General features: G+C 41.4%; 1 protein-coding gene across 8 annotated transcripts in view; it reads left to right on the top strand.

Annotated features, from left to right (window-relative positions):
• Positions 1 to 26,190, top strand: part of UEVLD (UEV and lactate/malate dehyrogenase domains) — a 59,126-nt gene that overhangs the window by 14,465 nt on the left and 18,471 nt on the right. For 5 of the 8 annotated variants that reach the window (NM_001261383.3, NM_001261382.3, NM_018314.6 and 2 more), the window contains 4 exons: positions 3,893 to 4,056; positions 7,788 to 7,923; positions 9,260 to 9,378; positions 15,940 to 16,042. In NM_001261383.3, coding sequence (NP_001248312.1) covers positions 3,893 to 4,056; positions 7,788 to 7,923; positions 9,260 to 9,378; positions 15,940 to 16,042 — 522 coding nt within the window. Of the gene's footprint in view, positions 1 to 3,892; positions 4,057 to 7,787; positions 7,924 to 9,259; positions 9,379 to 10,268; positions 10,625 to 15,939; positions 16,043 to 26,190 lie in introns of those variants that run through there. The other 3 variants (NM_001297771.3, NM_001261384.3, NM_001261386.3) reach the window with 3 other exon arrangements.

Below are 26,190 nucleotides of genomic sequence, written 5' to 3'. Positions count from 1 at the left end.
CTCAGAAGGCTGAGGCAGGGGAATCTCTTGAACTCAGGAGACAGAGGTTGCAGTGAGCCGAGATTGTGCCACTGCACTCCAGCCTGAGTGACAGAGTGAGACTCAGTCTCAATAAAAGTTCACTGTTCTTTTGAAATGCAAATAATCCCAGGACAAATAACATCCATAATCACTAATATACAGTTATGTGCTTAAAGGACATTTTTGGTATTTGTTGAACAGTGGAGTTAGTTTGATTATTGACTGAAGGGCTTAGGAATAAGTGGCTTACTGGGGCATTTGAAACAGAAGATACACTGAAAGGGGGGCTGAGAAAGATCTGGAAACCAAATAGGGAGAGAACAGCGTAACTTTGATCTCTTAAAAAGAGTTCAGCATTGTACAATGAGAATACATTGCCCAAAAGACACTAGGAAGCTGCATTTGCGGGGACTTCTTTTAAAGTAGGTGCTTCTTTGTGGTAGCTCCTGGATTATCACAAACCCCCTTAATTCCCCACTCCCCACCCCCAGTCATGACTTGTTGCTAGAGATGCACTCATGTTTTGTTCTGCTTCTGTGTATGTCCCACCATGATACCTCCTTTTGCAATAGTAGGCACTCAGGAAATGTGTAGGAATTCATTTTGTTTTTATGCATAGGAGAATGGATGGAGATGAATGCAGCTAGCCATGGGATCCATGCAGAGATTGCAGAGTGAAGTAGGCAGAACAGGCATAGAGTTGATTTTTCTTTTCTTTCCTTGGTCTTCCCTGCCAAGCTTTTAGACTGTTTCCTGGCTGTGTAGAGAATTTTACTCAGACCTGTTCCCCTTAAGTTGTATTCTGAATTTATCTTGGTTAGACGTTGAAAAGAAAGGGAAGGGAAGGGTATTAGGGAAAGGAGGAAGGGAGAGGAAGAGGGAAGGAAACTGATTAAGGTGATTCATTCTGAGAGATAAAGGCTAATTCTTAACCCACCCCAGTGTTTTCAAGGGTAGTTGCATATTAACAGAGGAGCTTGTGAATTTAAATGAATTACTGCTTAGTAGCATTTCGGTTTCTAATACAGAGTAGGGCGGTAACATGAGGGCAGAAAGGTTATCTTAATACCATTGGTAAAATCCCGCTGATTGGCACTATGCCTGTCCTGCAGTCATTGAGTTATGTCATTGATTCTTATGCTGGGGTCTTCCTCAGGTGCTCCCCCCACCTTTTTTTCCTGCATTACACTTTTCCTTTGCTTTGGAATTATATCAACTCAGTGTGAATGCACACTAATTATTTCCTGCTGATCAGAAGGTCAGAATGTATATTATCTTTCTCATCTGTAAAATGGGCCAATAGTAGAGCCCACCTCAGAGTTGTAAGGCTTAAATGAATTACAGTAAGTAAAGCTCTGGGCATAGTGCCTGGCATATAGTGTGTGCCAGTGTATGCTCAGTAAATGTGGCCATTATTATTTGTCTGCCTTTTTTTTTTTTTTTTGAGATGGAGTTTTGCTCTTGTTGCCCAGGCTGGAGTGCAATGGTATGATCTCAGCTCACTGCAACCTCCACCTCCCAGGTTCAAGCAATTCTCCTGCCTCAGTCTCCTGAGTAGCTGGGATTACTGGTGTGCACCACCATGCCCAGCTAATTTTGTATTTTTAATAGAGATGAGGTTTCTCCATGTTGGTCAGGCTGGTCTTGAACTCCTGCCCTCTGGTGATCCGCCCGCCTCTGCCTCCCGAAGTGCTGGGATTACAGGCGTGAGCCACCGCGCCCAGCCTTGTCTGCCTTTATTACTCTCTTTTAGTTAACTAGTTTTATTAGTGTAATGATTATACATGCTTATGCTAAAAAAAATTTAAACATTTGGGAAGGGATGAAGTGAAGCCTATATCTATCCTCCCATCTGCATGGAACTTCTGTTAATATTACCTTATGTTTACCTCTAGAAATTTTTGGTATTATTTCTTATACAGCCAACATTGTGTTAAGTTATAATGATACTTTTTCTTCAAACACTCATTTTTTAGAGATGTATGTAATCTTTTTTTCTTTTACTTTTTTTTTGAGACGGAGTCTCGCACTGTCGCCCAGGCTGGAGTGCAGTGGCGCGATCTCGGCTCACTGCAAACGCCGCCTCCCAGTTTCATGCCATTCTCCTGCCTCAGCCTCCTGAGGAGCTGGGACTACAGGTGCCCGCCACCACACCTGGCTAATTTTTTGTATTTTTAGTAGAGATGGGGTTTCACCGTGTTAGCCAGGATGGTCTTGATCTCCTGATCTCGTGATCTGTCCGCCTTGGCCTCCCAAAGTGCTGGGATTACAGACGTGAGCCATCACTCCTGGGCTGTTCTTTTTCTTTTAAGAGAGAGGGTGTTGCTCTGTTGCCTAGGCTAGAGTACAGTGGTGTGATCATAGCTAACTGTAACCTCAAATTTCTGGGCTCAAGCATTCTTCCTGCCTCAGCCTCCTGAGTGGCTAGGACTACAGATATGTGCTACCACACCAGGGTCTTGCATTGTTGCCCAGGCTGGTCTTGAAGTCCTGGACTCAAGCTGTCCTCCCATTTTGGCCTACCAATGTATCATCTTAAGATCACACCTATCTAAACTTTGTTTACATCCAACTTAAGTTATGTTCTTATGATATAATTCCTTTAAATCTGAGGACTTTGTGCCAGGAGTTCGGACTCTTCAGTGCTGAATTACTAAAAGCTAGATGTGCAGGGTAGGAGTCAAGGTATTTGCTGATAGGAAAGAGGGAAGGAAGAAGAGACTAGTGAACTAGTGGTGAAATCTTAACGTTTAGACACAGGAATCTGAGTCACCAGGTGCTTTGCCAGTCATGGGCTGTTAAAATGCAAGAATACTGCTGGGGAGGGGCATTGGTGGAGGCAGATCCTTGATCAACCAGGGGAATACCTTCAATAGACATTTTTTGTTTTGTTTTGTTTTTTTGAGACAGAGTCTTGCGCTGTCACCTGGCTGGAGTGCAGTGGCGCAATCTCGGCTCACTGCAACCTATGCCTCCTGAGTTCAAGCCATTCTTGTGCCTCAGCCCCCCAAGTATCTGGGATTACAGGTGCTTGCCACCATGCCCGGTTAACTTTTTGAATTTTTAGTGGAGATGGGGTTTCATCATGTTGGTCAGGCTGGTCTCAAACTCCTGACCTCAAGTGGTCAACCCACCTTGAAAGTGCTGGGATTACAGGTGTGAGCCACCACGCCCGGCCTTCAATAGACATTTCTTTCCTTTTCTTTAATGTGTAGTGATTAATGTAGGAAGTGACTCCATCAGGATTTGGGCTGCCACTCTGGCTATATTAGTAAACATTTTTGAAAATTTGATTTTTTTTTTTTTTTTGAGAGGCAGGGTGGATGATTTGGCCATTGTTTTAATTAAACTTACTCAAATGTTATACCAGTGATCTAATAGGAACATATTTCCAATGTGAATGTGGATGAAATGGGGGGGAATAGGCCTTGATTAACATTAATCCTTTATATGTAAACCTGACTAGACTGCTCATTTCTTTTCTTTTTTTTTTTTTTTTTTTTGAAACAGTGTCTTACTCCGTAACCCAGGCTGGAGTGCAGTGACACAATCATGGCTTACTGCAAACTTCACCTGCCAGGCTCAAGTCATCTGCCCATCTCAGCCTCCCCAGTAACTGGGACTATAGGTGTGTGCCACCACACCCAGCTAATTTTAAAATTTTTTGTAGAGATGGGGTTCCTCCATGTTGCCTAGGCTGGTCTGAAACTCCTGGGCTCATGCAATCTGCTCACCTCAGCATCCCAAAGTGCTGGGATTACAGGCTTCAGCCACCACCCCAGCCTACTCATTTCTTAAAATGCCGCCTAGCTATATCATAATGTGTGTGCTTTATTATTGTTTGAAGATATGTTTCTTTTGTCTCAAATAGGTAATACATATAACATACCAATTCGTTTCTGGATTTTGGATTCTCACCCTTTCGCTCCCCCTATTTGCTTCTTGAAGCCAACTGCAAATATGGGAATCTTAGTCGGAAAACATGTGGATGCTCAAGGCAGAATATATTTGCCCTATCTCCAAAACTGGAGCCATGTAAGATCAATTTGGATTTTCTACAGAAAGCTTTTTTTTTTTTTTAAATACCTATCATTGATTCTGCTGGTACAAATAAGTATGATACTGCATTTTCTTTCAATGATATTCTTCATGTAGTCTTTGGAAGTAATTTGAAATTGAGCTCTCTAGGGTTACCCAAGTCCCAGAACCCTGATGACAACTGCCTGTACAAAGCTGCTCCCTCCAGGTTTTGGAGCCAACTGTTTGCTCCCTGTCTTTTTATAGTCGTTTCCCACTTGAGAAAGTACAGGAGGAGCTACTAGCAAGTGATTGGGGCATTATTTCCAAGTCCCTTCCTATTACAGATTTTTATGTTATATTTATTTGTAGTTTTGCCTGTTTTTGACTTTCATATAAGTTGAATCATACTGTATGTAATCTTTTGTGACATGCTTTGTTTTAACCAATATTAAGTTTTAAAAAGTCATCCACATTGATCTATATAACTGTAGTATTTGTTTTATGTCCTCATGTTATGTAATTTTGTATTCTGCATTTTTCATTGACCATTATATTGAGCATTTCTCCATGTTAAACCATTTTCAAAATACATGGTTTTTAATGGTTACCTGATGACAGCATAAGGATATTGCGTATTGTATTTACAAATTGCCCTAACGTAAGACATTTAATGATGAACATCTTTAAATGTAAATGTTTGTATATATCTAATATATCTTTGATACTTCCGTAATGATAAATCTCTTGGAGTAGAATTATTGGTCCAAAGGTTTTCAATATTTTCAAGATTTTCTTATATATTACTAAATTGGCCTCCAAAAGGGTACACAAAATGATACATTTCTATAATCAGTAGAAATCAGTGTAGGAGGGTACCTATTTTACAGTACCTTTTCTCTAATAGAAGGTATTATCCTTAAAACAAACCTTTGCTTATCTTCTATACATTGGTTTAGACAGATGTATAGTATTCTCTCATTTTTGTAAATAATTAAAAATCTGTATAAAAGGATAATTTATAATATGTTTATATGAGGCCAGGTGCAGTGGCTCACAGCTGTAATCCCAGCACTTTGGTAGGCCGAGGCGGGTGGATCACGAGGTCAGGAGATCGAGACCATCTTGGCTAACGCAGTGAAACCCTGTCTCTACTAAAAATACAAAAAATAAGCCAGGCGTGGTGGTGGGCGCCTGTAGTCCCGGCTACTTGGGAGGCTGAGGCAGTAGAATGGTGTGAACTCAGAAGGTGGAGCTTGCAGTGAGCCAAGATTGCACCACTGCACTCCAGCCTGGGCGACAGAGCGAGACTCCGCCTCAAAAAAAAAAATATGTTTATATGTACCAGAAAGCTAGTAGGGCTGGAGGACAGGGGTATATTGGAGTCCAGTGAGGTTGGAGTAAAGAATGCCTTAGGATTATCACTTTTTATTTTATAGACAGCTTATAAAAAGGTGTATAATTGTAGATGCATTTTACTTTGTTTTATGGTTTTCTATATTTTTATATAGAAAACATTTAAAAAGAAGAAAAAAGAAATAGAAAAAACAAAGGACATACTTCGGATTATCAGTAGTAGGAGTTGACATTTTACTTTGTGAACATTTATGTTATTTGCATTACCTGATGATTTAAATAAGATTGCCAGTTAAATGTGATGAATGGGGCATAATAAAAATTTGTCAGTTGGAAGGACAAAAATGGATCTTACTCTTAATTTTCAGTTGTTTGGTTATTTGAGAAATTGAAATCATTTTCATTTACTTATCAATCGTACGTTTCTTCCTTTTTGAATTGTCTGTTTCTCTCCTCCATCCATTGTTACACCCTTCTTTAAACAAAACAAAACAAAACTATCCTCGAGTAGTATTTTGACATCTGTACCATGTTGCAGGAATTCATGTATCCTGTTTCTTCTCTCTGGTTTTCATTGGCATCTCTTTTCATAATTTTGTTTGTTTAATAAATCCTCGGGGATAGTCTTATAATCTAGTGAAAGTTGTGTTTAATTTTAGTTTAGACAGTTCTGATTTTATTTTACTGTTCTGAGCCTCTTTATTATAAGCTAAAACTAGTCTCTTTTTTTGAGACAGGGTAATGCTGTCTTCACCCGTGCTGGAGTGCAGTAGCACAATCATAGCTCACTGTACCCTCAAATTCCTGGGCTCAAGTGAGTTTCCCACCTCAGCCTTCTGAGTAGCTGGGACTACAAGCATGGTCTACCATCCACTACTAATTTTAAAATTTTTTGTACAGACAGGATCTCCCTATGTTGTCCAGGCTGGTATTGAACTCCTGGGATCAAGGCATCCTCCCACCTCAGCCTCCCAAAGTGATGGGATTACAAGTGTGAGCCACAGTGCCCCCACTTAAAACTAGTCTTAAAAAGACATTACATTATTTAAATTGCCCTATTTAAAAGTACTGCAGCACCTTTAAGTTCCACATGCAGTTGGAATTATAATTATGTAGCATAATTTTATAGAACTTTGGAGCTAGAAGGAATCTAGAGGTCATCTAGGCCAGGGTTTGCAATTTCTCTGAGAGATTCAGAGGGCCGCGTTAGGCCTATGGAATTTGTTTGAACAGCACAGTTCGTTTTGTTTTACCTTGTTTTGTTTTGTTCTTAATGTAAATTTGAATGCCTATTGGCATGCTGTTTCCAATTTGCCACAATAACCGTCTCTCCAGATTTTCTTGTACTTGCCAGCTTCACACATTTAACGTTACCTGCTTGGTCCCCAAAGGTATTTGAATTCTTGGCCCTAATAGCCTCTTCTTACTTTATAAATAGTGAAACTCAGACTCTGAGAAATTAAGCACTTTTTAAATGAGCATACTACTAAATATTCCCAGGAATAATAATAAACATCTGTTTTACACTCACGGCGTATAGTTTGCATTCATTGACTCATTTATTGCTCATAACAACCATTTGGGATTTATTATTCACTTTGTATTACTGATGACACTGAAGCTCAGAAAGGTTAGTGAATTTCATCAAGGTTGCTTAACCAATTACATTAAAAGAATACAGTACCAGATTAGATACTATTAGTGTTAATTTTCTGATTTGATAACGGTTAAAAGGAGAATGTCTTTTTCTTTTAGGAAATATACATTAAAGTACTTAGGGGTAAAAGGACATCATGTTTGCAGTTTACTTGTTCAGTTTGTTCAGAAAAACTAGAGAGAGAAAGACTAAACAAGCAAATGTGATCAAATGTTAACATTTGAGTAATCTAGGTGAAGAGTATATGTACTATTTTTGCAACTTTTCTGTAAGTCTGAAATTATTTCAAAATGAAAAGTTAAAAAAAGGAGAGTTCCTAAACCTAGGTATTCGGCTATTAAGCATATTCATGCTATTTTTCTACTTTTGGGAAATGTTGAATTAGCATTTCTTCTTCCTTTATTTTTCAGTTAAAAGTATTCAGTAATTTTTCATGAAAAGCATTACAACAGTTAAAAGTATCATATAATGTGTATGATGATTTTTGAAAAATGAGAACATGATTGAATGCTTCTTTTTGACTAACTCTAAAAGAATGTATAGGTTAAAAAAGATTTTTTGTTTGTTTTGTTTGGAGATGAAGTCTCATTCTGTTGCCCAAGCTGGAGTATAGTGGTGCAACCATAACTCACTGCATCTGAAACTCCTGGGCTCAAGTAATACTCCTGCCTCAACAAAGGTAGTATTCTTCAGCAAAATTTTTGTGTAACTTTTCTGTTTTTTGTGTATTCTACAGCCTAAATCTGTCATTGTTGGATTAATTAAAGAAATGATTGCCAAGTTTCAAGAGGAACTTCCCATGTATTCTCTATCATCATCTGATGAGGCACGGCAGGTAGACTTGCTAGCCTATATTGCAAAAATCACTGAAGGTTTGTATATTTGTCAGGCAGATTATCTTGAGAGTTATGAGTTACCAGTTTCTCACTAAACTCCTTTACTTTCTGCCACTTGATTTTTATAAATAAATTTGTGTGCGTATGTACATCTGTTTTTGAAATAAGAAATTCCTGTGCCTCAGGCCAGGCGCAGTGGCTCACTCCTGTAATCCCAGGACTTTGGGAGGCTGAGGCAGGCAGATCACCTGAGGTCAGGAGTTGGAGACCAGCTTGGCCAACATGGTGAAACCCTATCTCTACTAAAAATAAAAAAAGTAGCTGGGCGTGGTGGCAGGTGCCTGTAATCCCAGCTACTTGGGTGGCTGAGGTGGGAAAATTGCTTGAATCCGGGAGGCAGAGGTTGCAGTGAGCTGAGATTGAACAACTGCACTCCAGCCTGGGCAACAGAGCAAGACTCCATCTCAAAAAAAAAAAAAAAAGAAAAAAAAAGTAATTCCTTTGCCTTTATCACAGGGTATTACCATGTAATTCCAATAAATATTATTTATTTTTTTATTTTTTTGAGATGGAGTCTCGCTGTGTCACCCAGGCTGGAGTGCAGTGGTACCATATGGGCTCATGCAACCTCTGCCTCCTGGGTTCAAGCGATTCCCCTGCTTCATCCTCCCATGTTGCTGGGACTACAGGCATGCCCAGCCAATTTTTGTATTTTTGATAAGAATGAGGTTTTGCCATGTTGGCCAGGCTGGTTTTGAACTCCTGACCTCAGGTGATCCTCCCGCCTTGGCTTCCCAAAGTTCAGGGATTACAGGCATGAGCCACCGGGCCTGGCCAGGTTTCTTAAAGTGTAAAGAATTGGTCTTAAACAGATAAAACAATTCTTGTTCAAAACCACTTGCTGTATATTAATGATCCCAAACTTTTTTTCATGATATGTATATGTGGCTTGTTGGCTTATTCAATATATTGGATCAGAATATCTATGATTCTCATCAAGAATAAAGGCAAATACCTATGTTTGAAACATTTGGTAAGGTGTTAGACATATTTTTTTATTGTAGACCAGAGCAATGAGTTGGAATATTTTTCAGAATTATGGAAATCCTACTTTTTTAGAGTCTTATACAATATTTTAAAAATGTTTAGAAAGATACATTCTCTTTAGAAGGATAATTTCTATTTAGTCGACTATTTAATAGGAAACGTCTGCCTTCCTTGCATTCATTTGTTCAGTAGTATTTTTTGCCCATTATGGACTAGCACCATATTTTCTCTCTAAGCTATGAAGCCTGCTATATATTTTTTTTAAAGATCCTAAAAAAATTCTTGATATTTTTGAATTCTCAGGATAATTCACCTTTCTTTCTAGGTGTTTCAGATACAAATTCAAAGAGCTGGGCAAATCATGAGAATAAAACAGTCAATAAAATTACTGTGGTTGGAGGTGGAGAACTCGGTATTGCCTGCACATTAGCAATTTCAGCAAAGGTATGTAAACATAGTGGTTATAAATACATCTATCATAGTGCCACACTTCTAGGCAGGTTGTGTTTTACACACCAAAAAATGCCTTCATTTTGTCGTGGGAAAACCTTATTTTGGCTTAAAATATATTTAGTAAGTTGACAAAAAAGTTGAAAGCTTTCATCAGTGATGTTGCCTTTTAATTAGTAGGTTTAAAAAAGTGATTTGAACAATGGGCTTATCCTCATCCAAGGGAAAGCTCAATTTGACATTCATATGACTTAATCACAAATTCTTTTGTATTTTCTGAATCATGCCACTTTAATTAAACTCATTTAATGTAGTAATTTTAGCTCTTTCTAAAATTGGCTTTTTTTTTTTTAAAGATGGCCTTTTCTTACATAATTACTTTCTTTTAGGATCACAGTTTCTGAGTTGATATTTAATACTAGTTTAGGGTTTGTTTTTTTCATCAGTCCTTTTTACTAGTGTCTGCATAAATTGTTTGCAGGAAAGCTTAAATGCCCTTCCAGAGAGGTTCAAAAGACCTGCCTGCCTCCCTCCAGAGCCTAGTATCATGATAACAGCATGTCTTTTGTCATTTGAGAGATGTAGCCCTGAATAGAATAGCTGTACCTCTATATATTTATTTGGTGGCTGGCATTAGTTTTTCTTTTCTATATATATTTGATTGTTTTGCCATCTAAATTCTTCCCTTTCCATTTAAGACTCACATATGTCTTGGAGGTGGGTTCTACTGCAGCAAATAATTAAATTATATCCATGGAGCTAGAATATCTTAAAAGCTGGCTGCTCAGAGTTAAATATGCCAACTTTTGGCATGCTGTAGTTTTATTTCTTTCACCCTCCATTTGAATACACTATCACCTCTTTTTTTTTTTTTTTTTTTTTAGGTGGAGTCTCGCTCTGTTACCCAGGCTGGAGTGTAGTGGTACAATCTTGGCTCACTACAGCCTCCGCCTCCTGGGTTCAAGCGATTCTCCTGCCTCAGCCTCCAGAGTAGCTGGGACTACAGGCATGCGCCACGACGCCCAGCTAATTTTTGTATTTTTAGCAGAGACAGGGTTTTGCCATGTTGGCCAGGCTGGTCTCGAACTTCTGACCTCAAGTGATCCACCTGCCCTGGCCTCCCAAAGTGCTGGGATTACAAGTGTGAGCCACCGTACCTGGCCTGCTATTACCTCTTAATTAGAATTTGAGTTGTATTCAGTCTTTTGTCACTAAATAAATGCTTCTATAAACATTTCAAGTTGCTTGTTTTCTCATCTGAATTTTTATTTGGTCATACATTATTTTATTTTATTTAGACAGGGTCATGTTCTGTTGCACAGGCTGGAATGCAGTGGTGCAATCTCAGCTTACTGCACCCTCCACCTCCCCAGCTCAAGCCATCCTCCCACCTTAGCCTCCCAAGTAGCTGGGCTTACAGGCGCCAGCAACCATCCCCACTAATTCTTGTATTTTTTTGTAGAGACAGAGTTTCACCATGTTGCCCAGGCTGGTCTTGAATTCCTGGGCTCAAGCAATCTTCCTGCCTCAGCCTCCCAAAGTGCTGGGAGTACAAGCATGCCCCACTGCACCCGGCCTGGTTGTACATAATTTTAAAAAATAGTACTAGTGAGTCAGAGGGCATGAATGGTTTTTATAGCACTTATGACATAGTGCCAGATTGCTCTTTGGAAAGGCAGAACTAATTTATGCTGCTAATAACATGCACATCAACCTGATTTTTGACATCCCTAACAGTACTAAGTTTTATTTATTTGTAATTATTTGTCTTTTTTTTTTTTTGGTAAGCACAAGAAGGCATCTGAAAGTCTGAAAGTCATGGTTTTTCATTTTTGTTTTTGAGACCAGGTTTCTCTCTGTAGCCCAAGTTGGCATGCACTGGTATGATCATGGCTTACTGCGGTCTCTATCTCCTGGGCTTAAGAGATCTTCCCACCTCAGCCTCCTGAGTAGCTGGGACCACAGGGGTGTGCCACTACACCTAGGTAATTTTTAGTTTTTTTGTAGAGATAGGTCTCCCTGTGTTGCCTAGATTGGTCTTGAACTCCTGGTTCAGACTATCTTCCTGCCTTGGCCTCCCAAAGTGCTGGGATTACAGGCATGAGTCACTGCTCCTGGCCATGTTTTTAAACTGTTAGAAGAATCTCACTGTCATTATTTGTCTGTGAATTGTCTGGGTGGAAAATTTGCCGTTTTTCAGCTGGGCCCGGTGGCTTACACCTGTACTCCCAGCACTTTGGGAGGCCAAGGCAGGAGAATCAGTTGAGCCCAGGAGTTTGAGACCAGCCTGGGCGACACAGCGAGATCCCCATTTCTACAAAAAAAATTTTTTTTTTTTTCTTTGGAGATGGAGTCTCGCTGTGTCTCCCAGGCTGGAGTGCAGTAGCATGATCTCAGCTCACTGCAACCTCCATCTCCCGGGTTCAAGTGATTCTCCTACCTCAGCCTCCCGAGTAGCTGGGATTACAGGCGTGTGCCACTACACCCAGCTAATTTTTGTATTTTTAGTAGAGAGGGGGTTTCGCTATGTTGGCCAGGCTGGTCTCGAGCTCTTGACATCAGGTGATCTGCCTGCCTCAGCCTCCCAAAGTGCTGGGATTACAGGTGTCAGCCACTGCCTCCACCCTACAAAAATTAAAAATTAGCTAGGTGTGGTGGTGCACACTGGTAGTCCCAGCAACTTGGGTGGCTGAGGATTGCTTGAGCCTGGGAGGTTGAGGCTGCAGTGAGCTGCGATTGTGCAGTTGCACTCTAGCCTGGGCGACACAGTGAGACCCTGTCTCAAAAAAAAATTCTGTTTTTCTTTTTAGACGTTAATATTTTGATACAAAGTACAATATTCATAGGCCACTATTATGACTGCAACAGTGATAGTACTCATAATAGTGGCAACAAAAGTAGTGGTGGTAGCAGCAGCAACTAACCTTTACACAATGCTTATTAGGTACCAGGCACTTGTCTAAACACTTGACTCTTTTTTTTTTCTTGAGATGGAGTCTCGCTCAGTCACCCAGGCTGGAGTGCAGTGGCGCAAACTTTTTTTTTTTTTTTTTTGAGACGAAGTCTCGCCCTGTTCCCCAGGCTGGATTGCAGTGGCGTGATCTCAGCTCACTGCAACCTCCTGCCTCCTGGGTTCAAGTGATTCTCCTTCCTTAGCCTAAGATTACAGGCACCCGTCACCACACCTGGGTAATTTTTGTATTTTTAGTAGAGACGGGGTTTCACCATGTTGGCCAGGCTGGTCTTGAGCTCCTGACCTCAGGCAATCTGCCCGCCTCGGCCTCCCAAAGTGTTGGGATTACAGGCGTGAGCCACCGTGCCTGGCCAGTAGTGTGACCTTGACTCACCACAACCTCTGCCTCCCGGGTTCAAGCGATTCTCCCACCTCAGCCTCCCAAGTAGCTGGGATTACAGGTACGTGCCACCATGCCTGGTTAATTTTTGTACTTTCAGTTGACATGGGATTTCACTGTGTTGGTAGGCTGGTCTGGAACTCACTCCTGACCTCAGGTGATGCACCAGCCTCAGCCTCCCAAAGTGCTGGGATTACAGGCATGAGCCACCGTGCCTGGCCCACTTGACTCATTTTTACAACAACCCTTTGTTTAGGTACTGTTATTACTGACATTTTACAAATGAAGAAACAAAGGCATAGGGCGGTTACCCAAGTTGCCCCAAATTACACTGTTAATAAATGATGAAGCGAGAATTTAAAGACCAGGTAATCTGTTTATCAGAGCCTGTATTCTAGATCCTTACTAAACAAAGTGTGGCTTTCAAACTAGCAGCATTGGTACCACCTGAGTTCTTGCTAGCAATGCATAATCCAGGACCCTTCCCAGACCTACTGAAACAAAATCAGCATTTTTTTTTTTTTGAGATGGAGTCCCGCTCTGTCCCAGGCTGGAGTGCAATGGCGCAATCTCCACTCACTGCAACCTCCACCTCCCGGCTTCAAGAGATTCTCCTGCCTCAGCCTCCCGAGTAGCTGGGACTACAAGCATGCGCCACCAGGCCCGGCTAATTTTTGTATTTTTGGGAGAGACAGGGTTTCACCATGTTGGCTACGGGGCTCTCAAACTCCTGAACTCAGGCAACCAACCTGCCTTGGTTTCCCAAAGTGCTCAGATTACAGGGCTGAGCCACCATGCCCGGCCAAAATCTGCATTTTAATAAAATCCCTGGTGATAATATATGCTTCACGGATTGATTACATGGTGACATTTTAAAACTTTTTCAATCTCTGCTATAAACCACTATATTGTCTCGTTGTTACTGATGAACGTTTTGTTGTTCCTAGTCTTATGAATATCCTTAATATTGTACTCTTTTACACATGTACTGATAAATTTGTAGGATGATTTCTATAAATGAATTGATGGATTCAAGAAGTTAATGTTTTAAATTTTTGATAGAAAATTGTCAAATTATCTTTTATTAATTATACCAGTTTATTCCCATACCCATAATATGTAAGAATACTTATTTTCCTACAACTACTGCTAAACTTTTGGATTTTTTTGTGCCTTATAAATGAAAATGGTAACTCATAGTTTTCTTTGCATTTTCCTTATGGGTATGGTTAGCAATAAAATTAATAACTATGTTTTAGAGGGGATTACTATATGCAAGCCCTGTGTCACATAATTAATCCTTACAACCTCATAAAGTAAGGCCGAATTCAGTGACTGTCCTGGTGTTACATAGCTAATACATAGTGTAGCAGGGTTATTTTCTTTCTCTCTCTGTGTGTGTGTGTGTGTGTGTGTGTGTGTGTGTGTGTGTGTGTGTGTGTAGAGACGGGGTTTTGCCATGTTGCCCAGGCTGGTCTGAAACTCCTGGACTCCAGCCTATGCCCATCCTGTCCTTCCAAACTGCTGGGATTACAGGTGTGAACCACCGTGCCCAGCCAGGGTTGTTTTCTTTACCATCACACTTTCTGTCTGATAGTCTGGTAGATCTTTGGGTACTTTTGCCCGTGAATCCTAAAATAGGAGATATCTTCAAGTCTCCTACTACTTTGAAGAAAGACCTTCCATAAAGGTAAACTGATTTTTAGGAGTTTCCATGCTGTTATTTACAGTCAGCCCACTGTGCCGCCCTATTTACAGGCATGTGGAGTATTTTCCATGAGATCTCTGGGGAGAGTACTGCATGATAATAGGATTTGATTTTAGATTTTATAGCTATTATACTTTTTTTAAGAAAAAGCTGGCATTATTTTTTTAACTTTTCTACTAGAAATAAGACACACAAATAGACCCAAAAGCACTTTCAGAATGAAAATGATAACATCAAAATGAAAACATAAATCAAGAGCAATAGCAGAAGTATTGAGTGCACCAAGTCATCTTTATTAACTCATCCCATTAAAAGAAACCTGCAGGGGCCAGGCATAGTGGCTCATGCCTGTAATCCCAGCACTTTGAGAGGACGAGGCAGGCAGATCACTTGAGGTCAGGAGTTCGAGACCAGCCTAGCCAACATGGTGAAACCCCATCTCTACCAAAAATATAAAAAATAGCCAGGTGAGGTGGTGCACGCCTGTAATCCCAGCCACTTGGCAGGCTGAGACAGGAGAATCGCTTGAACCTGGGAGGTGGAGGTTGCAGTGAGCTGAGCTCGTGCTAATGCACCCCAGCCTGGGCGACAGAGCAAGACTCCTTCTCAGAAAAAAAAAGAAAAGAAAAGAAAAGAAAAAGAAACCTGCAGACCTGGGCACGGTGGCTCACACCTGTAATTCCAGCACTTTGGGAGACCAAGGTGAGCACATCACCTGAGGTCAGGAGTTTGTGATGAGCCTGGCCAACATGGTGATACCCCGTCTCTACTAAAAATACAAAATTAGGTGGGCATGGTGGTGCATGCCTGTAATCCCAGCTATTTGGGAGGCTGAGGCAGGAAAATCACTTGAACCCAGGAGGCAGAGGTTGCAGTGAGCCGAGATTGTACCATTGCACTCCAGCCTGGGCGACAAGAGTGAAATGCTGTTCTCAAAAGAAACCTGCAATCTGTGACTTGTGAGTTAAGCCCTGTTAAAGCTTTTAGTAGTCAAGCCTAAAGGATTACTTATTGAAGTTCATAATTTCTTTTTTTTTTTTTTGAGATAGAGTCTCGCTCTATCGCCCAGGCTGGAGTGCAGTGACACAATCTTGGCTCACTGCAACTCTGCCTCCTGGGTTCAAGCGATTCTCCTGCCTCAGCCTCCTGAATAGCTAGGATTATAAGCATGTGCCACCATGCCTGGCTGGTTTTTGTATTTTTAGTAGAGGTGGGGTTTCGCCATGTTGGCCAGGCTGGTCTTGAACTCCTGACCTCAGGTGATCCGCCTGCCTTGGCCTCCCAAAGTGCTGGGATTACAGGCCACCAAGCCCAGCCAAAGTTAATAATTTCTTGCTTGCATGTCACTTTTATTGCTATTGTGTTACTTACTCTTCTTAACACTAAAAGACAGTGTATGAGGCCTGTTTATTGTCCTTTAGTCCTCATTGTTGAATGAATTTAAATTGAGTCACTGGCCATGTTCAGTGTAATGTTCTTTCTCTTACTGTACAGGGTATTGCAGACAGGCTTGTCCTCTTAGACCTCTCAGAAGGGACTAAAGGAGCCACGATGGACCTTGAAATCTTCAACCTTCCTAATGTGGAGATCAGCAAAGGTCTGTTTATTCTGCTTAAAGATGTATGCCTTATTAGATCTTCATTTTTGACTCCTAGAATGTTAATGCTGAAAAGCACCTTAAAGATCACCTTGTCCAAGTCTCTCATTTTACATATTGGGAAACTAAGATTGAAATAAGTTAAATGACTTACCCAAAGAGTCATTCAGGGATTTTAACTGATTATATTAATAGGAATCAAATGAGCAAATAATTCAGATTTATTCAGATTGGTCAGAAGGAGTTATTCTTTGTTTTTGACTTATACCTCAAAATAAATTTATCTCTGATTGCCTCTTTTCTTAGAATATATTGGTTAAGAGCATTGGCTTTAGAGTTCTACAGATAGAAGTTTCCATCCCTGCTCTGCCATAATAGTGCTGACATTTGTCAGATTATATAATCTCTCAAACTTCAGTTTTTTCATCTATAAAGTAGAAATAATACCTACCTTTTGGTATATAGCAAAGTGCTAAACCAAGAATAAGAAAAAAAATTTAGCTGGGTGTGGTGGCTCATGACTGTAGTCCCAGCTACGTGGGAGGCTGAGGCAGAAGGATTACTTGAGCCCAGGTGTTCAAGGCTGCAATGCACTAGGATTGTGACTGTGAATAGCCACCACACTCCAGCCTGAGCAACATATCGAGACCCTGTCTCTGAAAAAAAAAAAAAGAAAAAAAGAAAAAAAATTCAGTTTACATTCATTGCACTAAAAATATATTGTTAAAATAAATTTTAATAATAAAAAGATTTTCTGTGTCAATAACATTTGAGTGGGCCAGGCGCGGTGGCTCACGCCTGTAATCCCAGCACTTTGGGAAGCCGACGCAGGCAGATCACGAGGTCGGGAAATCGAGACCATCCTGGCAAACATGGTGAAACCCCATCTCTACTAAAAATACAAAAAAATTAGCCGGGCATGGTGGCGGGCACCTGTAGTCCCAGCTACTCGGGAGGCTGAGGCAGGAGAGTGGTGTGAACCCGGGATGCGGAGTTTGCAGTGAGCCGAGATGCGCCACTGCACTCCAGCCTGGGCGACAGAGTGAGACTCTGTCTCAAAAAAACAAAAACAAAAACAAAAACAAAACGTTTGAAATGTTAAATTTTCTATCTCTCTCTCTTTTTTTTTTTTTTTTTGAGTCGGGGTTTCACTCTGTCACCCAGGCGTGAGTGCAGTGGCATGATTCAGCTCACTGGAACCTCCACTTCCCCAGCTCAAGCTATCCTTTCACCTCTGCCTCCCAAGTAGCTGGGGCTATAGGCATGCACCACCACACCTGGCTAATTTTTGTATTTTTAGTAGAGACAGGATTTGCCTTATTGCCCAGGCTGGTCTTGAACTCCTGGACTCAAGTGATCTGCCCGCCTCAGCCTCCCAAAGTACTAGGATTACAGTCATGAGCCACCGCACCCTGCCCTATCTCATTTTTTAATTAAAAAATTTGCATGTATTTTATAATGTACGTAACATATTAGTATAGACATATTTATGTAGGTAAATACCGTATTTGGGGATGTGGAGTTGAAAGTATTTTACCAAGGATGCATGATCCAAAAAAAAGAAAAAAGGCCACTGAACTAGAATAAACATTTCCTAAAGCCTTTCTACCAAGTTATGGGTAAGGTCGGATTATAACATGCTATAGTTGTTTGGCTTTCCTTTGCCTTTCCTTAGGTCCCCTTTATTCCTTGACAATATTTTCCAAATAATATATAAAGACATACAGTATTACAAGCCTCAATAAACTAAGGAATGGTAGTCAGAAAAGTTGAAATTATACCTATCAGTTGTAAAAGTTAGGTGTAAAAGTTTTAGTAAGCCTTCGGCTGCCTGTAGGATACAATGAGTTCATTTTCCTTCTCTGGAAAGAGTACCATAGTTGCTTTAAGGATCTTTTTTGTAGGTCTCATGTAGAAGTTCTTTGGGGAACTGGATATTCTCTTGTGCCTGTGATTTTCAGGTACTGAAGTTCTTAAAGGACCTCTTAACTCTTCAAAATCACTTTAGGAGACTCTTCAGTATATGGACTCTAGAGGTTGTGAGGCCACGTAGGACTGAAGAAATTGTTTCTTCCTGTGTGTCTCATCAACCATCAATAGGTATTGCTTCAGATAATTGAAAGACTAGAATCCTTGGAATAGATGTGTAGTGCATGGTGCTTGCCACCAAGTAGGGAGTCAGTAATTATCTGTTGAATGTTGAATGAGTGTATATCATCTTGGGGTAACTTTCATTCATGTTCCCCTTATTAATTGTGGTTGTACATTTTTTTTTTCTAGAGACAAGGTCTTGCTCTGTGGTCCAAGCTGGAGTGCAGCGGTGCCATCATAGCTTATTGTAACCTCAAACTCCTGGGTTCAAGCGATCCTCCCACCTCAGCCTCCTAAGTAGCTTGGACTACAGGCATGTGCCACCATTCCTGGCTAATTTATTTTCATTTTTGCAGAGACAGGGTCTTGCTATGTTGCCCTGGGTGGTCTTAAACTCCTAGCCTCAAGCAGTCCTCCTGCCTCAGCCTCATAAGTATCTGGGACTACAGGTGCACGTCACCATACCCAGCTTGGTTGTATATTTCTGATAGCATTTATTTAATTACTATTAGATGAAGTAATTTTATTTATTCATTTGTTTATTTTTTTTAGACAGTGTCTCACTCTGTTGCCCAGGATGGAGGGCAGTGGCAGAATCATGGCTCACCGAAGCCTGGATCTACCAGGCTCAAGTGATTCTCCTATCTCAGCCTCCCAAGTAGCTGGGACCACAGGCATGCGTCACCACATCTGACTAATTTTTTTTTTTTTTTAAGACAGTCTCGCACTTTCACCCAGGCTGGAATGCAGTGGCACGATCTCGGCTCACTGCAAGCTCCACCTCCCGGGTTCACACCATTCTCCCGCCTCAGCCTCCCGAGTAGCTGGGACTACAGGTGCCCACCACCATGCCCAGCTAATTTTTTGTATTTTTAGTAGAGATGGGGTTTCACCATGTTAGCTAGGATGGTCTTGATCTCCTGACCTCGTGATCCACCCTCCTCAGCCTCCCAAAGTGCTGGGATTACAGGCGTGAGCCACCGCACCTGGCCCTAATTTTTTCATTTTTTGTAGAGACAGGGTCCCACTATGTTGCCAAGGTTGGTCTTGAACTCCTGGATTCAAGCCGTTCTCTCTCCTTGGCCTCCCAAAATGCTGGGATTACAGGCATGAGCCACTGCAACCATCCTTAGATGAAGTAATTTTAAATGTAATGTTAACTGACTTCTCATGAATATATTCTGAGATATGGCGAAGTACATCAATAATTCGGGGAATTAAAGCTCATTTGGAAATTTTAGTAATGCCCCATTGTAACACACATAGATGACTGCAGCTGACTGATCATTTGATGTCTTTTTTAATAGCTACTATAACATTTTGGGGAGGGATATACATATATACATATGAGCATGAAAATTTACATACAGATACATACATACACACTTATGCTTGTGTATATACCGACAATCTGGAGAAATACTAAGAAACTGTTAAGATGTTGGGCACGGTGTCCCATGCCTGTAATCCCAGCACTGTGAGAGGCCGAGGCGGGTGGATCACCTGAGGTCAGGGGTTGAGGACCAGCCTGGTCAACATGGTGGAAACCCATCTCTACTAAAACTACAAAAAATTAGCCAGGCATGCTGGCGGGTTCTTGTAATCCCAGCTACTCAGGAGACTGAGGCAGGAAGATCGCTTGAACCTGGTAGGCGGAGGTTGCAGTGAGCTGAGATTGTGCCATTGTACTCCAGCCTGGGCAACAAGAGTAAAAACTCTGTCTCAAAAAAAAAAAAAAAAAAAATGGCCAGGCACAGTGGCTCACGCCTGTAATCCCAGCACTTTGGGAGGCCGAGGCGGGAGGATCACCTGAGGTCGGGAGTTTGAGACCAGCCTGACCAACATGGAGAAACCCCATCTGTACTAAAAATACAAAAATTAGCCAGATGTGGTGGTGCATGCCTATAATCCCAGCTACTCAGGAGGCTGAGGCAGGAGAATTGCTTGAACCTTGGAGGAAGAGGTTGCATTGAGCCGAGATCGTGCCATTGCACTCCATCCTGGGGGCAACAAGAGCGAAACTCCGTCTCAAAAAAAAAGAAACTATTAAGAGTAGTTGCTTTAGGAGTCAGACCGAGGGAATTGATTTTGCACTTGTTTTTTGCATATAATAGTATATATATTTAAATCCTTTTATCTTTTTATTGTGCCCAAATACACATAACATAAAATTTACCATTGGTGACTTTAGGTACTCATTCACAATGTTGTGCAACTATCACCACTAATTTCCAGCATTTTCACCACCCCAAAAGGAAGCTCTGTACACATTGAGCAGTTACTCCCCATTTTCCCTTCTCCCAGGTTCTGGCAACTACTAATCTGTCTGTTCTGTGGATTTTCCTCTACTAGCTAATTTATATAAATGGAATCATATAGTATGTGACTTTTGTGTCACTTCGCATAATGTTTTCAAGGTACATCCATGTTGTGGCACGTGTCAGTGCATCATTCATTTTTGTGGCTAATGTTTCTTGGTATGGATATAGCACATTTTATTTATCCATTTATCAGTTAATGGACATCGGGTTGCACTTTTTCACTATTGTAACTAGTGCTACTATGAACATTCATGTACCAGTTTTTTTAATACCTCTTTTTGGTTCTTTTGGATGTATATCCAAAAGTGAAATTGCTGGATTATATGGTAATTTGATCTTTAACTTATTAAGGAATTAATTCTACACTTTTGAAGATGTTTATTAACAGTACATATAGCTCTAAGTAACTCTATTTCTTTGAAAACGTTCTACATAATATTCCATCATATGAGTGACTGTATTTTCTTTTTTCTTTTCTTTTTTTTTTTTTGAGACAGAGTCTTGCTCTGATGCACAGGCTGGAGTGCAGTGGCACAATCGTGGCCCACTGCAACCTCCGCTTCCTGGGTTCAGGCTATTCTCCTGCCTCAGCTTCCCAAGTAACTGGGATTACGGGAGCACGCCACCATGCCCGGCTAATTTTTTTTTTTTTTTTTTTTTTGAGACGGAACCTCACTCTGTCACCCAGGCTGGAGTGCAATGGCGCTATCTCGACTCACTGCAACCTCTGTCTCCTGGGTTCAAGTGATTCTTCTGCCTCAGCCTCCCAAGTAGCTGGGACTATAGGCGCATGCCACCATGCCTGGCTAACTTTTTGTATTTTTAGTAGAGACGGGGTTTCACCATGTTAGCCAGGATGGTCTCGATCTGCTGACCTCGTGATCCACCCGCCTTGGCCTCCCAAAGTGCTGGGATTACAGGGGTGAGCCACCACGCCCAGCCTAATTTTTTTTCTTTTTGAGACCAAGTCTCACTCATTCAGGCTGGAGTGCGGTGGTGCAATCTTGGCTCTCTGCAAACTTCACCTCCTGGGTTCAAGCGATTCTCTTGCCCCAGCCTCCCGAATAGCTGGGATTACAATTGTGTGCCACCACACCTGGCTAATTTTGTATTTTTAGTAGAGACAGGGTTTCACCATGTTGGTCAGGCTGGTCTTGAACTCCCAACCTCAGGTGATCCGCCCACCTCAGCCTCCCAAAGTGCTGTGATTACATGCGTGAGCCACCGTGACCAGCCTAATTTTTTAATTTTAATTTTTATTTTCATTTTTTGAGACAGTCTCGCTCGGTTGCTCAGGCTAGAGTGCAGTGGTGCCATCTCGGCTCACTGCCACCTCCGCCTCCTGGGTTCAAGTGATTCTCCTGCCTCGGCCTCCTGAGTAGCTGGGATTACAGGTGCACACCATCACACCTGGCTAATTTTTGTATTTTTAGTAGAGACGGGGTTTCACCATGTTGTCTCAGGCTGGTCTCAAAACTCGTGGCCTCAAGTGATCCACCTGCCTTGGCCTCCCAAAATGCTGGGATTATAGGCGTGAGCCACTGCACCTAGCCTTCAGGAAGATTTTTAATAGCTATAATTTTAGCACAGTTTTCTAGATTAAGGGTCATTATCATTAGTATGAGAGAACACACATTTCTAAAATTTTGGGTCATATTAAATAATTTGAAAAGAGTATATTCAATAATTTTTAGTACCGTAAGAATGGCTTAATGATATACCAGATAAATGAAAATATGTGTAGTGTCTTCAGTATATTCAGACTGATAGAGTAGCTAGAATATTTCAGTAGGTCTGCACGGTATTTACCCATCATTATTTGATACAGAGTTACCTGGTCTTTCAGTATTTTAAATAATCAGCAGTGTTTTAAAATGAGTTCATATTTCATTCATCATAACATTGGCCTCATAATCCGAGAACAGTAGTATATTAAAGCATGAAATATTATTTACTGGGTCTTTTGACATACTTGATTTGATCATCCCTTAGTATAACTGTGACCAGCCTTTGGTTTAGGTTGTAGACCTTGGCTTAGCAGGAAGGATATAGTTTTTTCTGGGCTACCTATAGAAATGGGAAAGAGGTGAGAGGCTTGTGTCCTGGTAACACAGATGCTGACTGAGTTCTTGGCATGGGAGGAAACTTAGCATTATGCTAATGTCTAAGTGGGACAACTCATATTTGAACCAGGCGGTCTCATTCTGAAGCCCTCCTTACTAACCCTTGTACTACATTGTGTGATATATAGAGTAGGGACAATATCATGTTCACTTTTGTGTTCTTAGGGCCTAACACATTACCTGTGACATGACAGGACCTTAGTAGGGGTTTGTTGAATTCATTATTGTCGAATGAACTTTTATCCTGATCCTCTTTTTTTTTTTTTTTTTGTGATGGAGTCTTACTCGGTTGCCCAGGTTGGGGTGCAGTGGCGCGATCTCAGCTCACTACAACCTCCTCCTCCCAGGTTCAAGCGATTCTCTTGCTTCAGCTTCCTGAGTAGCTGGGATTACAGGCACGTGTCACCACGCCCGGCTAATTTCTTTTTAGTAGAGACAGGGTTTCACCATCTTAGCCAGGCTGGTCTTGAACTCCTGACCTCGTGATCCGCCCACCTCAGCCTCCCAAAGTGCTGGGATTACGTGTGTGAGCCACTGCACCCGGCCTATCCTGATCCTTAACCTTGTAATTTATAGCTTTAATAATCATGCTTAAAGTTCTTTCTAATTCTCTTTATAACTGTATAATCTTCTTCCCTTGTTAAATCATCAACTTGTAAGGGAAGACTTGAAAAGTCAAAGATTTTGAGTGCCAGGTACAAGGAACTTAGTTGCCTGTGGAGCAATGCTAACCAAACCTGGCTGTGCATCAGAATCATCTGGGGGTTTGCATTCTGGAAGCTATTTCCCCTTATATATTTAAGTAAAATCTTCAGAACATGGGCTAATCTGCATTTTTATTAAGCTTCCCAGGTTAGGCTTAGGCACCTAGCCTAGCATTTAAGAACTGCTGCAAGAGATTGATAGAAATGGAAGACTCTATTTGGTCAGAAGCAGCTTAAAGTTTAGATAAAAAGACACATGCAATATATAAACAGTTATTCATGACAAGAGAGTGAGGAGGCACTATGTGATTAATGCCAAGAGAGTGGTCCAGACAGTGAGGACTCGAAGTTGGGTGGAGACAGAGATTGCTTTCAACTGATTAGGATTGAGATAGTTGCTGGTTCTTCTGGGATTGGAGAGATTTGGACTGGCAGAAAGCTGGGGGAAATGTTCCAGTTGCTATGCGACTAGATCTTGGAGGTGGAAAGATGAGTAAGAAACAAATAATCCCTGTTCCCCCAGAGCTTGTAATATGTTTGATGTAGACAGTTAAGCAGATGTTTGTCAAACATGTGGTGAGTGCAGTGAGAATTTGAGCAAAAGCCAGTATCAGGAAAATTAGGTAGATATTCTAGGGAATGAGTATAGACCAATTCAGCCTGCATCACAAGTTTATGTAGGAGAATTTAAAGAAATACTGAGCTGGGTGCTGTGGCATACACCTATAGTACCTCCTACTTGGCAGGCTGAGGCTGGAGGATTGTTTGAGCCCAGGGATTTGAATCCAGCCTCGGCAACATAGCAAGACCCCATGTCTAAAAGAAAACTTTAAAATATAAGAAATACTGGCTTTTAAACTCAAAGGAGGCCGGGCACAGTGGCTCACACCTGTAATCCCAGCACTTTGGGAGGCCGAGGCAGGTGGATCACCTGAGGTCAGGAGTTCAAGACCAGCCTGGCCAACATTGTGAAACCCCATCTCTACTAAAAATCCAAAAATTAGCTGGGAATGGTGGTGGGCACCTGTAATCCCAGCTACTTGGGAGGCAGACGCAGGAGAATCACTTGAACCCAGGAGGCAGAGGTTGCAGTGAGCCAAGATGGCACCATTGCACTACAGCCTGGGCGACAAGAGCAAAACTCCATCTCAAAAAAAAAATTAAATAAATAAAAAATAAACTCAGAGGAATTGATTAAAAGGCCCGAGAGCTTGATGGGAAAATCTTTGGGAGTAGGAAGGCTTTCTTGTACTTTTGAAATCATATTAGGGGCTGGGCACAGTGGCTTACGCCTGTAATTCCAGCACTTTGGGAGGCCAAGGCAGGCAGATCATCTGAGGTCAGGAGTTCGAGACCAGCCTGGCCAACATGGTGAAACTCTGTCTTTACTAAAAATACAAAAATTAGCCGGGCTCAGTGGCGGGCACCTGTAATCCCAGCTACTAGGGAAGCTGAGGCAGGAGAATCACTTGAAACCGGGAGGCAGAGGTTGCAGTGAGCTGAGATTGCATACCACTGCACTCCAGCCTGGGCAACAGAGTGAGACCCTGTCTCAAAACAAAAAAGAAAAGAAATCATATTAGGTAGCCACTACTATGTTTACTCCTAAGTCAACCTTGAAGATGAGGAAGCTAAAGGAGCAAAGAAAAGAAATAATCACAATAGCCTGGGGCCAGATTGTAGAGTTATAAATTGAACTGTCCACTAATATTTCATAATATGGACAGACCACCTAACCTCTCCACATAACAGTTTCCTCATCCTTATGAGGGTGTAGGACTAAGTTTCTAAATGTAGCATAGTGTTTAATAGCACTTTGAAGTCAGACTGCATGGGCTTAACCTCTGGCTCTACACTTCAGCTCTATGACTTTGAGCAGTTTATTTAACTTCTCTGTGCCTCAGATTTCTCATCTGTAAAATACTCCATTGTGTATTGTTGATTAGATTAAACAAATAAATTTATGGAGAACTGTTAGAACAGTGTTTGACACATATGGAATTGTTAAGTATATCCCTTCCAGTTCTAATGTCTTCTAATTCTTGAGGTTTTGACTCATCACCAGGTATCTACTGTGAATCCTACAACATAGGAATTACTTAAGAGGACTCATGAAGAACCATAATTAAAATCTAGGACTTAGTGTTTAGATCTACCATCACTAGAACTGTATCAGAATAGGAAGTAAAATTAGATAATGCATCTCCCAGTGGACACATTGCACAAGTGTTTCCTTCTGAAACTTGTTTAGAAAGATGGCCTAGCCAGGTGCGGTGGCTCACGCCTGTAATCCCAGCACTTTGGGAGGCCGAGGTGGGTGGATCACCTGAGGTTGGGAGTTCGAGACCAACCTCACCAACATGTAGAAACCCCGTCTCTACTAAAAATACAAAATTAGCTGGGTGTGGTGGCATATGCCTGTAATCCCAGCTACTTGGGAGGCTGAGGCAGGAGAATCACTTGAACCCAGGAGGCAGAGGTTGTGGTGAGCCGAGATTGCACCATTGGACATCAGCCTGGGGCAACAAGAGCGAAACTCCATTTCAAAAAACAAAAAAGAAAGATGGCCTTAGAGGCTTAATTAGGAATATAAACCATGGAGTCTACTGTCTCCCTGGGAGGCTAATATTCATTTGTAAATGTTGACTGGACTGATGCCATTCTAATTACTTTATTATGGTTCTCTTATTTCTGATGTTGGTAACATCTGGCCACGGTTTGGGCATGTACTTACTGTAAAACACACTGTGCAATGGAGAGTAATATAGTTGTAACAGCATAACGTGTGCTGGAGGGTCAAAGGTGCTCTGGAGTCAGAGTGAACTCCATAGACTAGCTTTTCCTAAGTCATAACAGTTGATTACCTGTAGTTCCCATGGGAAGAAGTAGTTATCCAAGGACAGCTGGGC

This window comes from Homo sapiens, chromosome 11 (genome assembly GCF_000001405.40).
Source record: "Homo sapiens chromosome 11, GRCh38.p14 Primary Assembly".
Lineage (NCBI taxonomy): Eukaryota > Metazoa > Chordata > Mammalia > Primates > Hominidae > Homo > Homo sapiens.
This window is presented reverse-complemented; position numbering and strand designations above follow the sequence as displayed.